This window comes from Homo sapiens, chromosome 20 (assembly GCF_000001405.40).
Source record: "Homo sapiens chromosome 20, GRCh38.p14 Primary Assembly".
Lineage (NCBI taxonomy): Eukaryota > Metazoa > Chordata > Mammalia > Primates > Hominidae > Homo > Homo sapiens.
In genome coordinates this window covers 40,454,148-40,468,152 of record NC_000020.11, presented here as the reverse complement: position 1 = coordinate 40,468,152, position 14,005 = coordinate 40,454,148, and the positions used below count along the sequence as shown (strand labels likewise).

Sequence of the window (14,005 nt, the reverse complement as noted above, 5' to 3'; positions counted from 1 at the left end):
CATGTGATAACCGGGGAAATGCAGGCAGTTCCTATGAGCTTTACAACAATCGGGGGGGGCATTAATGGAATCAATGGCTTTTAAAAAATTAATTTTCTTAATAGAGAGGGAGTCTGAGGCTCAGAGATTTAAAATACTTTGAAGCTGAATCAGGCTTCTATCCCAGGCCCTATGTCGTTTCCCTCAGAGTGCAGCACGAAGATGTGTGTGAAGGGTTTGGGGTCAGACCCACCTAACTTTGCATTTCACTTCCTCCATCTCACCAGCTCAAGGCACCAGAGCGAACTTGAGCAAGTTGTAACCTCTCTGTGTTTACTAATCTTGTTTACTAATCTGTAAAATGGGGATAAAAATAGTCCCTACCTCACTGGATTGTCATGAGGATGAAATGGTTGGCTTAGTATGTGGCCAGAGGTTGGGGCCCATTGATGTAAGCCATTATTCTTATACATGTTGTCTGTCTTCCTTCGAAGGAGACAGGCTGCAGACTTCCAAGTCACTCTGGCTTATATGTAATGCCCTGCTCTCCTTCGTCTCTTTCACAGGCTCGAGGAGACTTTTCCTGCCGCAGCACAGGCTGTTCTTGCATGCTGAGACAAGCAGCCTCAGGGTGCAGGGTGGAATTGCTACACCATCTCCCTTGGGTGTCTGTTATCAGGGATTGATGGCAGACCCAGCCTAGAGCATTTGGAGGTGGTCTGAGTGGGGTATGGGGTGAGGGAGTTTCCCAAAGAGCCAAAGAGTGACTTGCCCTTCCTGAAAACTGTGCCATAGAAAACCTAAGTTTTGCCTTCCATCCGACAGCAACTTCCTTTAAAAGCATCAAGGAAGGGAAACACACAGAGGAGGCGGAGCCAGTTGGAGCTACAGCTTAGGCCCTGAACTGGGATGCTGGTCCCCTGGGATCCTGTCTGGATTTACAGAGGCTGTTTTTTTGATCAAAATAGAGGCCTTAATGGCTTCCTGTTTAGACGTTATTGCTTTACCATGAGACCCATGGGAGATAGTGTAGCAATTCTACCCTGCACCCTGAGGTGGAAGAGATGAGGACACCAGAGTATTACCTTCTGAGGGTTGGCTGCATCCTGCCCTGCCTAGTGCTTCTCTGACAACCACAGCTACTCTCTCCAGGCTCTTCCCTCCCCTTTAAACTGAGGGGAGGTAATGGCTCCTCTGTGTTGCCAGCCCCCGGATGCTGCACCAACTCTTCTGGGTCTCCTTAACCCTGCTCACACCCTTGTAAATGCTCCCTATAATAAACTCTCCTCGGTTATCCCCGTTCAGGGCACCATCTGTTTCCTTCCAGGACGAGCACTCATATAAGTCGACAATGCATCTGCATTCTAGAAAATAATTCAGTGTTCCAGACAAGAATATTGTTGATTTTTGAAGAAATTTCCCATACCTACACTAAAGGAACACCAAATTTATTACTGTATCAGTGAGGTGAGTTAACATAAAACAATAAGTTGACTACTAAGAAATGTAAATGGCTAATAAACTGAAAAATCAGCTCAACTGTAATGAAATAAGTCACAAATAAATAAAAAAAGAGTTCTAATTTTTACCTTCTCAAACCCTGTTGTGGAGATGCTAAGTGGGTTCCTTAGGGAAATGCATCAAGAGCCTTAAACATTTTTATTCTTATGAGTCAAACAACTCTTTTGTGAAGTGTTCACTTAGGGAAGTACTCAGAGATGTAAAGATCTATGGACAAAGATGTACATCTCAGGGTTGTTCAATAGTGACGAATTGGGAACAATGTACATGTGCTACAGAGGAAGGTTGGCTTAAGAAACCATGCTCCATGTAGAAGTAAAGTGGTTAAGCACATAGTCTCTGGCATCAAACCATCTGGTTACACATTGTGCCATGGTGTGTGTCATCTAACCCTCGCCATGGAAGCTGTGCTTGGCAGGAGACACCTAGGAAGTGCTCAATGAACATGAAATTTATAGATAAAAAGTTATTTTCTAGGAAGGCCCCTCTACAGCCATTAGGTGGATGCTTCTGAAGCATATTTAATGATATGTAAAATTATTTGTGGCATAACATAAAATAAGGATAAATAAAAGAATAATTTAGAATTTAGATATAGAATAATCCTCATTATTTCAGCATGAAGGTATGCTAAAATGATATGAGCCTTTAGATCTAGATGGTATGATTACTGTTGATTTTGATTTTCTTTAGTTTTCAAATTATTTAAGATTGATTATTAACCTACTCCTTTTCCTCTTTCTCTCTCTTACTATGGAGACACAGATGACACCATAATAAGACAAAACGAAGTGGTCTACAATCCCATTTCCCAGATATCTTTTTGACACATACACATGCACACACACACACACACACACAATTTAAAACAGCTCAAAAACAAAATCCAAAATCTTCCTTCTCACCTACAATCTTCCCAGATGAAACCATTGGTAATAAATCCTTTGATTCATTGCAGAAGAAAGGATGTGCACATACCAGCAGATCCAAGTTCTTTTCAAATAAGCTTGTATTGATTTTATAATCAGAAAATTGTAGCATGTACACATTTAAAATGTGGGCATTTTTATTGTCAATCTCTTGAGGAACAGGCTTGGGTCAAATGGCCTGTCCTTGTCCCATTGGGGGAGGATCAGGAGCATAGGCACTACCTGTGGGGGAAGGGGGACAGAATCGGTTTTGTGGTCATTGGCCTGGGATGGGGAGGGGCTCTAAAATGCACACCTCTTGTTGGTCCTTGGTTTCCTCATCATTGGAATGGGACAGATCTTGAACACTGCACACCTTACTTACTTTGGGACAATAACCAGCATTAAGACACTAATGTTGATCCCCGAGATCAAGTATTGCTGGTCTCTGCTGGGCCTCCAGGAGCATTGCTACGAGCCATGTTTCTATGTCCTTGAAAACATCCGTCTTCAGTTTTTCCAAGGACCTCAACTCTCTTGATTTATCCAGTTCCCCAAACCCCCACCATCTGGATCCAGCTTCCGCACCCTTCCTCGGAACCAAACTGAGCACATTTTGTTTTCTTTTGCTCTTCCCTGTCTTCTCTAGTTCTACCCTAACTTCCCTAGAATTTAGGTCATTGATTGCACAAAAAAACAAAACAAAAAAAAGACAAAAAAAAAAAAAACCCAAAAAAAACAGGGAACCATGGGGTTGAACACTCATATTGGGCAATGCATATAAGGTTCATAAAATTAACTGGAAGCTGTCTCTTGATGCAGTTCCCTACTCATTGAACTCATGTGACTTGAATAAATCACTAAGACTCTTGATGTTCTGTTTTGTTCTTTGTGCAAAAAGAGAACACTCTATTGTCTTTGGTTCACAGTGGTCAACTCTAGAGAGTCTTCCATCTCCTGAGTACAGGGGAGAGGCATAATGGGCAGTCCACAGCAGCACTGAATCCAGGAGTCCCTGACTCATGGGAAGGGTTGAGGAATTTCTCAGGACCTGGGGTTAAATGGCAGCAGCAGTCTGTCCCATGGCCTCATTTTGGACGCAATGCCAAGCTTTCATCCACAAACTCACAAGTTCATGCTTTTATTTAGAGTGTGGGCATAGCACGGATTCAGGGTCAGAAAGGTCGAGTTGGATCTTTCTTGCTCTTTATTTACCTGCTAAATGACCTTATAAAGGTCCTCATGTTGTCAAGTCTCAGTGTATTCTTCTGTTACATGGGTCTAATCTTCCTTTCTTCTTTAGACAGCTGTTGTGACAGTAAAGTGAGACCCTTGTAGCAAAAGCACTTTTCGGACTCCATGATGTTAGGAAACTGCAAAACACCTTCTTCTGAGTCCAGAGACTGGAAAATGAACTCTTGTGTGGTGAGAATGAAAAGATCCCTTTCTTTTATTTATTTAGCACACATGAAACATGTATATGTATTCATTATACGCCAGGGACTCTTCTAAGTACTTGACAAATATTCACATATTTACATTCTCCTAATCACACGATGATAAATATACAACTGTTGTCCCTGTTTTCCAGATGAGAAAACTGTGGCACAGAAAAGTTAAGTAACTTGCCTAAAGCCACATAGCTAGTAAGTAGCAGAGCCAGGATTCAAACCTAGGCGCTATGGCTATAGAGCCCATGCTCTTCACCATTACATCATGTTAACTTCTTTGCTTGGGATGTTTGGTAGAGCAAAGATAACTTGAGAAGTACAACAGACTGATAGTGAATCTTAGTCCTGCCATTTAGCTGTGTGGCCTTGGGAAGGTTAATTAAATTCTCTGAGCCCTTACTCCCTTATCTATCAAACGAGAATACAAATGTCCATATCAGACAAGTTTTGCAAAGGTTAAATTGAGGCACATTGTCTGGCACAGGCACAATGAGGTGCACAGGTAATGTGAGTTGGATTTGTAGGCAGGGCCTTACCTGAACTCGGCCTTAGCCATTTACTTGATTATGGTTGATTCGGACTTTTCCATGCTCTGCCCACCAGCCTGCTGGGTAACCACATACTTCAGAGTGTGAAGGACCCTGCCCATACCAACTCTAACACTCTCAGGGTGTCTGCCTTGCAGATTGGGGTAGGGAAGCTCTTGTTCACATGCCTGGGCTTGTCTAACAATTACAATTTTTCAGGCCCAGGGTGTCAGCTCCCAGGCTCCTGTTTCCTTTGGGCTCCAAAGAGCAAACAGGGCCCTGCACTTCTCTGTCCACCTCCCCTTCCAAAAACTTACTGGTTAATTTTAGGGTTGGGGAGAGGCTCTGACGAGGGCCTGCCCACGTGGGGTTAAGGTTACCAGTGGCCTCTGCCTCTGGTCAGGCTCGCTGGGAACAGCCGCAGTCACTTCCCGAAGCTCAGTGGGGGCAGGAGCTCGGCCAGGGCAGTGGGCAGTGGTTGGGCACAACATTTCCAAGATGTTGGGAGCCCTGCCTCAGCAGACCAGACCCACAGCCCACATTTTTGCAAAAGAGACACTGTCTTTTATCAGGCATAGCCTGATGCAGTTATATTTTTCATATCATTTTAACTCTAGAAATGGCCCAGCATTTACTACTGCAAAAACTTAATCATGTCTGCCTTACCTGAGGCCCCTTTAAAAGATAAATGCTGACAGATTATCTCAATAATAAGGAAGAAGTCTAGTCACAGTTCTTTACTCTCCATTAAAGGTCTCGCAAACCACGTATTGATTTTTTTAAAGAAAAGAAATTGGAAGAAGCATGTACCAATTAAGAATAAAACTAACAATTTATTACCCTTAGATCTTTAAGGCAAATAGGGAGTAGAAAAACACTTGCTTTTTTTCCTTCCCTCTATTGAGACATAATAATTAGGTAACTATGTAAATAACCTTGTATTAAAACCTGAGACAGCCTGCGGTTACTCAGGCTTCTGTACTGGATCATAAAGATCAGTTACTGCTCCTGGGTTCTCTGAGTTTTGCAAAGCTTTTCTCCCTTTTCTGAAGGGCTCTTAGAAAAATTGTTTCCTTCCCTTTTCTTTTGCTTTGAGCAGGCTGATCATAAGCTCATCTTCTTACTTGTTTGTAAGTTTACTGAATGAGCTCTTGGAGTTTCTTGTTTGTTTCTGTATTCCACAAGCTTTGATTGAGCACAAACTATGTGTTTGTGTTGCTCTTTATATTAGATGATGAACACTGTTACAGAGAAACATTGAGCAGGCAAAGAGGACATTGAGAATTTCCAGGACGGTAACACTAAGATGACGACAAATTTTTCATTGAAGTAGAAACTAAAAACAAGGAAAATATTTTAGAACTGATCTGTCATGTACATGTCTGGCCAGGCCACCCCATCTTTTTTGTGTGTGCAATGATTCTCTGCCGGATAAATATTTGTTAAATATGTAAATAAATGTCTCCCTCCATCTGAAAAGTAAGCACCACCAGGGTAGGCATTTTATGTTTTTTACTGATGTATCCCACACGCTGAGAACTATACCTGACACATATCAGGCCCTCCATTAATATATGTTGAATAAACAAAGAGTTGTCCTCAGTTCATGGATTTGTCTGGCATTCAAAAAGTTTTTTCTAATACCTACTTTAAGTCAGGAATTGGCCTAGGTGCTAGGAACACAAACACGATTGGCCTGGGGCTGCCTTTTTTGATCTTTCAGACAAGGGGAGGAGAGTGAGTTGATCAAGCTAACATAATACTATGTTGTTAAGTGTTAAGCTAGGAGGATGTTGAGATACTCTCTTGCAGAATATGGTAGGATACTTCAGCAAAACCTGTGGAGTGAAAGAATCGTGCTTAGGTAAAAAAAGGATTGAGATGGAGTGAGCAATTGAGTTCCAGGAACTAGAAGAGGAGGTCTAATGATTGAAAGTGACAGAAAACAAGGAGCCAGAGAAATGGAGGCTGCTGCTAGGCCTCGGGTGAGAAGCAGGGAGTGGTGAGATGAGGCTGGAAGAACAAGCAGAGGCCGAATTGTGCAGAGCCTCACATGGGGTTCAGATTTAATTTAAAGACAGCATGAAGCCATTGATGGGTTGCCAGGGGACCAGGGAGGTCAAATTTCTGTTTTGGAAAAATCCCTCTGGTTTCTAGGTATAGGATGGATTTAAAGGAGAGAGCCCAGGCCAAGAGGCAGCTAAGAGCTTCTCCTACAACCCAGGGGAGATGTGGTGGAGACCTGGATGAGAGTGGACAGGCTGTGGGCTGGAAGAACCAGAGAGATTTATGAGAGAAAGACTAACGGGTTGGGGGTTAGAGAGAGGTCAGAGTAGTGGGCGACTCTGAGGTTTCTGGTTTGGTCAACTGGGAAGATAGTTTGAAATAGTTCAGGTGCAGTGTGGGAGAGAAAATTGACATGGAGTCCATATGTATGTCTTGGGAGACCGAGAGGTTTATGGCTCCACTGAAATAATTCTTCAGTTTACTCTGAAGACACATGAGTGAGAAGGAGGAAAAAATGCAATTTAAAAAGTTGTGTTGACATGAATGCACATCCACACCAGATATCTGGAGACAAAGGGCATGGATGGATTGATGTCCTGCATTGTGCAAACTGGTGTCTACTTTGTTCAAATTCAAGAATTTTATCCAAATTTCTATATTACCCTGGAAGAATAATTTAAAACACAGTTGGACCAGGTGCAGTGGCACACGTCTGTAATTCCAGCACTTTGGGATTGCGAGGTGGAAGAATTGCTTGAGCCCAGCAGTTCAAGAGCAGCCTGGGCAACCCCAGGCTTTTGATAGTGAGACCCCATCTCTCTCTCAAAAAACATAAAACTCTCTATATCCATAAGTTTCACATCTGTGGATTCAACCAACTGTGGATCAAAAATATTGAAAACAAATTTAAAAAAGGATGGTTGCATCTGTACTAAACATGTGTAGACATTTTTCCTTCTTATTATTCTCCAAACAATACAGTATAACAACTATTTAGATAGCATTTACCTTGTATTAGGTATAAGTAATCTAGAGAGGATTTAAAGTATATGGGAAGATGTGCATAGGTTCTATGCAAATACTATACCATTTTATATTAGAGACTTGAGCATCTGCAGATTTTGGTTTCCACAGGGTGTTCTGGAACCAATCCCCTGAGGATACTGAGGGACAACTGTATTGTCTTGGATGGTCTCTGATGCTGTAGTATCAGTCCTCTTTCCGTGGCTGAGAGTGGGGTGGGTGAGAAAGGAATTGGGCTTACTGTATTTTTCAGCACACTGAACCTTTCCTTGCTTTTTGAATCATTTCCTTTTACTCTAATAATTTTGGAAGTATAATATTATGAAGTACAATATCAATATTGCACAAGGAATAACCCCACACTTAGAATTCATTCATTCATCCATCCATCTATCTGACCACTCACCAGTAATCTTTCCTTCCTTCCTTCCTTCCTTCCTTCCTTCCTTCCTTCCTTCCTTCCTTCCTTCCTTCCTTCCTTCCTTCTCTCCTTCCTTCCTTCCTTCATCCTTTCTTCCTTCCTTCCTTCCTTCCTTCCTTCCTTCCTTCCTTCCTTCCTTCCTTCCTTCCTTCCTTCCTTCCTTCCTTCTTCCCTCCCTATCTCTCTCCCTCCCTTTTTTTTTGACAGTCTTGCTCTGTCACCCAGGCTGGAGTGCAGTGGCATGATCTTGGCTCATTGCAACCTCTGCCTCCTGGGTTCAAAGGATTTTCATGCCTCAGCCTCCCAAGTAGCTAGGATTACAGGCACCCACCACCACACCCAGCTAATTTTTGAATTTCAGAGAGATGAGGTTTCACCATGTTGGCCAGGTTGGTCTTGAACTCCTGGCCTCAAGTGATCCATCTACCTTGGCCTTCCAAAGCGCTGAGATTACAGGCATGAGCCACTGCTCCTTGCCCGAGTTTTTGATCTGTAGCTTTGAAGACTTGGCTCCAGAACTTCCCTTTGCATCCCTGCAATGTCTGGTCCATGCCTGTTTATTCCTTCCTTCTACTCCTCATCCTATGTCCCTGTTGCTCTGAACCCAGAAAACTTGGAGGCCCAACATTCCCAAAGTGCAGAGAGGGCTGCCACAGCTCCCTTGACCCACAAGATCATCGAGCTGATGCAGCAGGAGTTTATTTCACTTGACTTCAATTTAACTGTCCTGAGCCCCTTCTTTATATTGCCAAGAGATTTCCTAACAGATATGTAACCCGGCGATTCAGGCAATTATTCACGTATTCCCCCACATCATTAGTTTTATGGAACACTGCCAGGGGGCATATTTTTCTTCCCTAGGACTCCTGAGAATAAAGGAAATAGAACTCTTACCATGAAGTCATATTAAGGAGTTTATTTCTCAGAAAATACCCCATAGCACTTTTATAAAATCTTGTGCAGATAGACTGCATTTAGGAAAAGTATTATTTTTACCTCACCTGCTGCCATGAGAATTGCTGTCCAGGCCTCCTGCCTTCCAGGACATGGCTTTTTAAAAAATTCTGGGGTATCTACTGACCACAAAGGGGTGCCCATTGTTAGTGTAAGGAAGACATGGTTTAGGCTGGATCTTGTTGGGCTTGGCTAGGGTGATATAATTTAATCATCCAAACCAGGATGTACTTTTGGACAGAAGGGTGCTATTATTAATTATATTGGCATAACAGGTATAAATTAGGGCCATCCAGGCCCATTGGGACATATGATTACCCTAGACTTTGTGCTCTACTCCTCCCACTTATTGAAACTTTTCTCCATCGGCTTGATCGATAAAGTAAAAACCCAAAGCATTCAGCCAAACTGGGCAAAATATTAGCATTATAACCTAGAGTGATAGTTTTCTTTACTGACCTGGAGAACCAGGGATGATGGGGTGTATCAGCTAGCTCTTGTTACAATAATGCTGCACAAGGAATCACACCAAAACCCAGTGTCCTGAAGCAGCGTTTATTCTCACTTATCTACCTGCAGGTCAGTTGACATAGGCTGGACTTGAATCCATGCTACAGGTTGGGTCCAATTCTGCCTCACACATCTCTCCTTCTCCACAGATCAGTGGGCCAGTTTATGCGGGCTCTTCCCATGGAAATGGCAGAAGCAGAGCAGAAGCTTGTGAGTGGAGACATGTGATGTCTTCTAATACCCAGGCTTGAATCCAGCACACAGTTCACATAGTTACTTCTACCCACATTACTTTGGCCAAAGCAAATCCTATGAACAAACTCATGTCTCCACTCATAAGCTTCTGCTCTCCTACCATTTCCATGGGAAGAGCCTGCATGGAACTGGCCCACTGATCTGTGGAGACGGAGAGATGTGTGAGGCAGAGGTGGACCCAACCTGTAGCATGGATTAAAGCCCAGACTATGTCAACTGACCTGCAGGTAAATATACCCCTCCTTTGGTGGGGAGTATGCCAAAGGCACAGGCAGAAGATAAAGGTACAGGAAGACATAAAGAATAGGAACAATAATACAATCTATTACAGGGAACATTCGGCAAAAGGGGGTTTGCTTTTTCTCTCCCCAGGCCTCTAGTACTAGGATGGCTGAGTTTCTTCAACCTGTTGCATGCGAAGAAAGTGAAGCAAAGAGAACACAGGCCCTTTTGGTCTGCAAAAGGCAGGTAGCTGCCCTCATGACCTGACCACATAGAGGATGCCAAAAAGTGGGCTCCCTCTGAGAATAGCAATGTCCAAAAGAATAGAGGACAGAGAGATTGAGAGGAAACCTCATGATTCAGAATGGCAACTCTGCCCTGGCAAATATGGTGCAGTGAATGGAAAACTCTTTTCACTCACCAGTCAGACCAATCATTTCTCCTCTCACAGAATGGAAGGAGTGAGGGAATGAAGAGAGGAATAGCAAGTGCTCAGACACAAACTGCTCCTTTCTGAGGCGGGGAAGCAGAAACCCTTTATCTATGAGGATCAAAGGAAAAACGTCCCCAAATCACAGGCATTTCTGCGGGATGTGCATGGTCCCACAGAGCCCCACCAGGTGGATATTTTCCATGTTGTGAGTACCGGCCTTCCCATTCCTTTGTTTCTATAGTTCCTTTTGGACAAGTGCTGCTGTGAGCTTTGTGCCCTGTGTCATTCAATCACTTTCTACTCTGCCCCCCTCCCCACCCCGCCACAGTGTCAGGCCCTGAGCCTTTGCCTACCTGCTGTCAGAGCCCTGTGTGGCTTCCTCTCAGGTAGGTGATAATGGGGAGTGAGAGCTTTTAATCAGACAAATGAATCATGCTGATTATCCCTAGTTCAATCATGGATTACCCCTGCCAGGGAATCTCCTGTCTAGTGTTTAAGCCAATTAAAGGGCTCTGGGGGAGTCCTTGGCTGGGGGTTCAGGATCAGAGGAGGGCAGGCTAAGGGGAGGCACTGGGGAAGGGGATTTCAGGGCAAAACACATCTCACCCTGCAGATGATGAGGGGTTCTTCCCATGTTCAAGGGTGACTGAGACCTTGGTGTGTGGGGTTAATCACACAGATGGATTGCTCAAAGTCCACAGAGCAACCGAAGGGATAACCCATGGTCACCAGACCTTGTAAATTCACCATTATCTTCTCCCCTGCTTTTTTTTTTTTTGAGATGGAGTCTTGCTCTGTTGCCAGGCTGGAGTGCAATGGCGCAATCTCGGCTCACTTGCAACCTCCGCCTCCTGGGTTCAAGCGATCCTCCTCCCTCAGCCTCCTGAGTAGTTGGGATTACAGGCGCCCGCCACCACAGCCAGCTAATTTTTGTATTTTTAGTAGAGATGGGGTTTCACCGTATTAGCCAGGATGGTCTCGATCTCCTGACCTCGTGATCTGCCCACCTTGGCCTCCCAAAGTGCTGGGATTACAGGTGTGAGCCACCGTACCTGGCCCTCCAGTCCCATCTTTTCTAACTTGAGCTCCTGCAATAACTTCCTAGCTGGTCTGCCTACTCCACTCTCTAACTTCTCTATAGGGCAGCTAGAGTTGTCTTTTCTATGTTTTTATTATTTACATAATTAGGAAAAAACATTTAAAAATATAGAAAAGTGCAGAGATATTATAGCTAATATCCATATATTTGCTACTCCAAATCAACAGATGCTTTTCCTCTATTCTTTCTATTATCTATCTATCATCTATCTATCTATCTATCTATCTATCTATCTATCTATCATCTATCGTCTATCTATCTATCTATCTATCTAATCTATCTTTATTGAAATAACACCCATATGGAAAAGTACATATATCTTAATGTACATCTGTTGAATGTTCACAAAGTGAACAGTCATATAACTGTACCACAAAAAGAAAAGGAACATTACCCGCCTCTCCTTTTGCCCATTTCTTGTTATTCCCCCACCCTACCTGATCACAGGTAACCACTATCCTGAGTCCAATAGCATAGATTAGTTTGCCTATTTGTGAACTTTACAAAAATACAGTCATACAATGTGTGTTTTTTTTGTGTTGTGTTTATTTTGAACCTTCTTTTTAAGAAAGACATTTTTAAAGATAAACGGGAAGTCACCTGCATTCTAATTCTTCTAATTCTTTTTCCTTCCCCAAAGGCAACCAGAATCATAAATGTGATAACATATTTAGTTGATGTCTTTATATGTTTACATATTTATATAGCATTACTTTGGATGTGTTTTGTTTGTATTCAAATAAATGGTTTTGCAATATATGTTGGTTCTACCACTTGCTTATTTCACAGAATGGGCTTTCTAAACCACACAATGGGTTATGTGACTCTCTTTCCTTTTTAAACACCCCCACCCATGCCTTTCCAGACTGTGGGTTCCTGGAAACAGGAGCAATGTTTTGATACTTCTTCTTATTCTGTGAGTCCAACTCTGCGGCTCATGCTTCATAAAGATGTTTCGGGTGAATGAATGCATCAATTAACAAATGAGCAAAGTCTCTCACTTCATAAAGAACTTGAAAGTCCTGAACAAATACACCCTTCTCTACTGACCACCTTTTGGAGAAAGGTATCCTCTTTTTATCTTTTCTTTTACTTTTTTTTCTTTTTTCGTTTTGGCTGCTTTGTCTGTAAAACTGCCCAAAGACTTAAGTCCATCAGCAAGCCCAGCACAGAAATTTGACTTTATAAAATGTTCCTTCAGAAGAAGTAAATATTTCAGAACTGTGTACAATCTTTGTAGCTTTGCTCCTGATCTGTTCTTCTGGAAGAGGAGATAGTAGTATTCCTCCTAAGGTTTTTCTAACTATAAACAGAGAATTATCATAGTGATGTAAGGAGATTACAACATTAAATTCATATTTTGATAAATTGGTAAAACATCAGTCATCCTTCAAGTTAGCCAGCCCTGGGGTTTCTGTTGAATTCTGTTGGTTCTTCCAGGCTCCCCAGAGGTGAGATCATGGCCAGAGGGAGATGGGTCACTGCTGACATTCTGAAGGGACATCTCAGAGCTATGCTGGGTAAAGGAAAACTGGTCCCATCTGTCCAGCCTAACTACTGCTGATAGCACCAAGACCCAGGGCCTTATCCTCTCTCAGGACCCAGATTCATCCTTCCTATCTCCTCCCCTCCCACAGAGCGCAGCCACCACCCTCATTAAGCTAGCATAAGGGAAACATATTCATTTTAGATTTTGATTGGAATCTTGGTTATGCCACCAACTATGGATGATCTGGACAAGTTCGTGACCTCTCCAACCCTCAGTGTTCTTAAGTGTGCTGTGGGATATATTGTTACTATTTCATAGATATATTGGGAGAATTAAACTATTGAGTGGTGCAGGATGTGCAAATAATACTCAGTATTTTTCTACTTGCATATACAGGTAGACAAAAGGCTAGAAAGAAATACAGTAGATGTGTTAGTACACATACATGCATATTATATATGTTCTTGTGTCTAACTTTCTTTCTAAATATTTTATCCTAAGTATTTTCCAATCTTTTAATGAGATTGGAAGATACTTATATTGTTTTTCTTTTAATACTATATTTGTTATTATATTTGTCTTAATACTATATTGTTTTTGATAGTTGCATAATATTCTAACATCTGGTTGTACTGTAAGTACACCTAACCATTTCCACATTGTGAGCCATTATGTTTATTTTTAATTTTTCATCAAGGAGAGTTCTGAGGTCAACCCAATCTGATTTTTTTTCTTTTTAATCTTTTGCAAACAATGTGGTTTTTATTATTTTTGCTTTGCTTTGTTTTCTGCCTGGGATACTTATAAGTTATTTTTTCCTTGCTATCAAGCTGTGGGTTTCTTTTTTTTTTTAAATCAATTATGATTTGTGCAGAGTATACCATTTTGTTTTGCAATTTTAGATCTTTTATTTTCAGTTCAAGAATGTTCTAATATAGATTTGATTGGTGTTTCAGTGTCATTACTTTTTTAGAGACTTTTTAAAGGAACACTATTTTCTTTTTGTAAATTGGATCACTTTTCTCTATTCTTCATATATGCCATCTGTTTGCTCATTATTTTCAACTCCAGATTCTAAAAGATATGTTTCAAATTTATTATTTCTCTGAAACTTAGTTTTCTGCAGTATAAGTTCTGCTCTTTATTGCTTCTAATGTAAACTATAATTCTAAGAGTGTATTAATTGTTTCTCTGCCTTCTTTGATA

General features: G+C 41.9%; 1 long non-coding RNA gene across 1 annotated transcript; it reads left to right on the top strand.

Annotated features, from left to right (window-relative positions):
* Positions 1 to 413: 413 nt before the first annotated feature.
* On the top strand, positions 414 to 13,189 carry LOC105372618 (uncharacterized). Its single transcript, XR_936718.3, has 3 exons — positions 414 to 1,446; positions 3,712 to 3,833; positions 9,929 to 13,189. It is a non-coding gene; the product is annotated as an uncharacterized LOC105372618 (long non-coding RNA).
* The last annotated feature ends 816 nt before the right edge of the window (positions 13,190 to 14,005 follow it).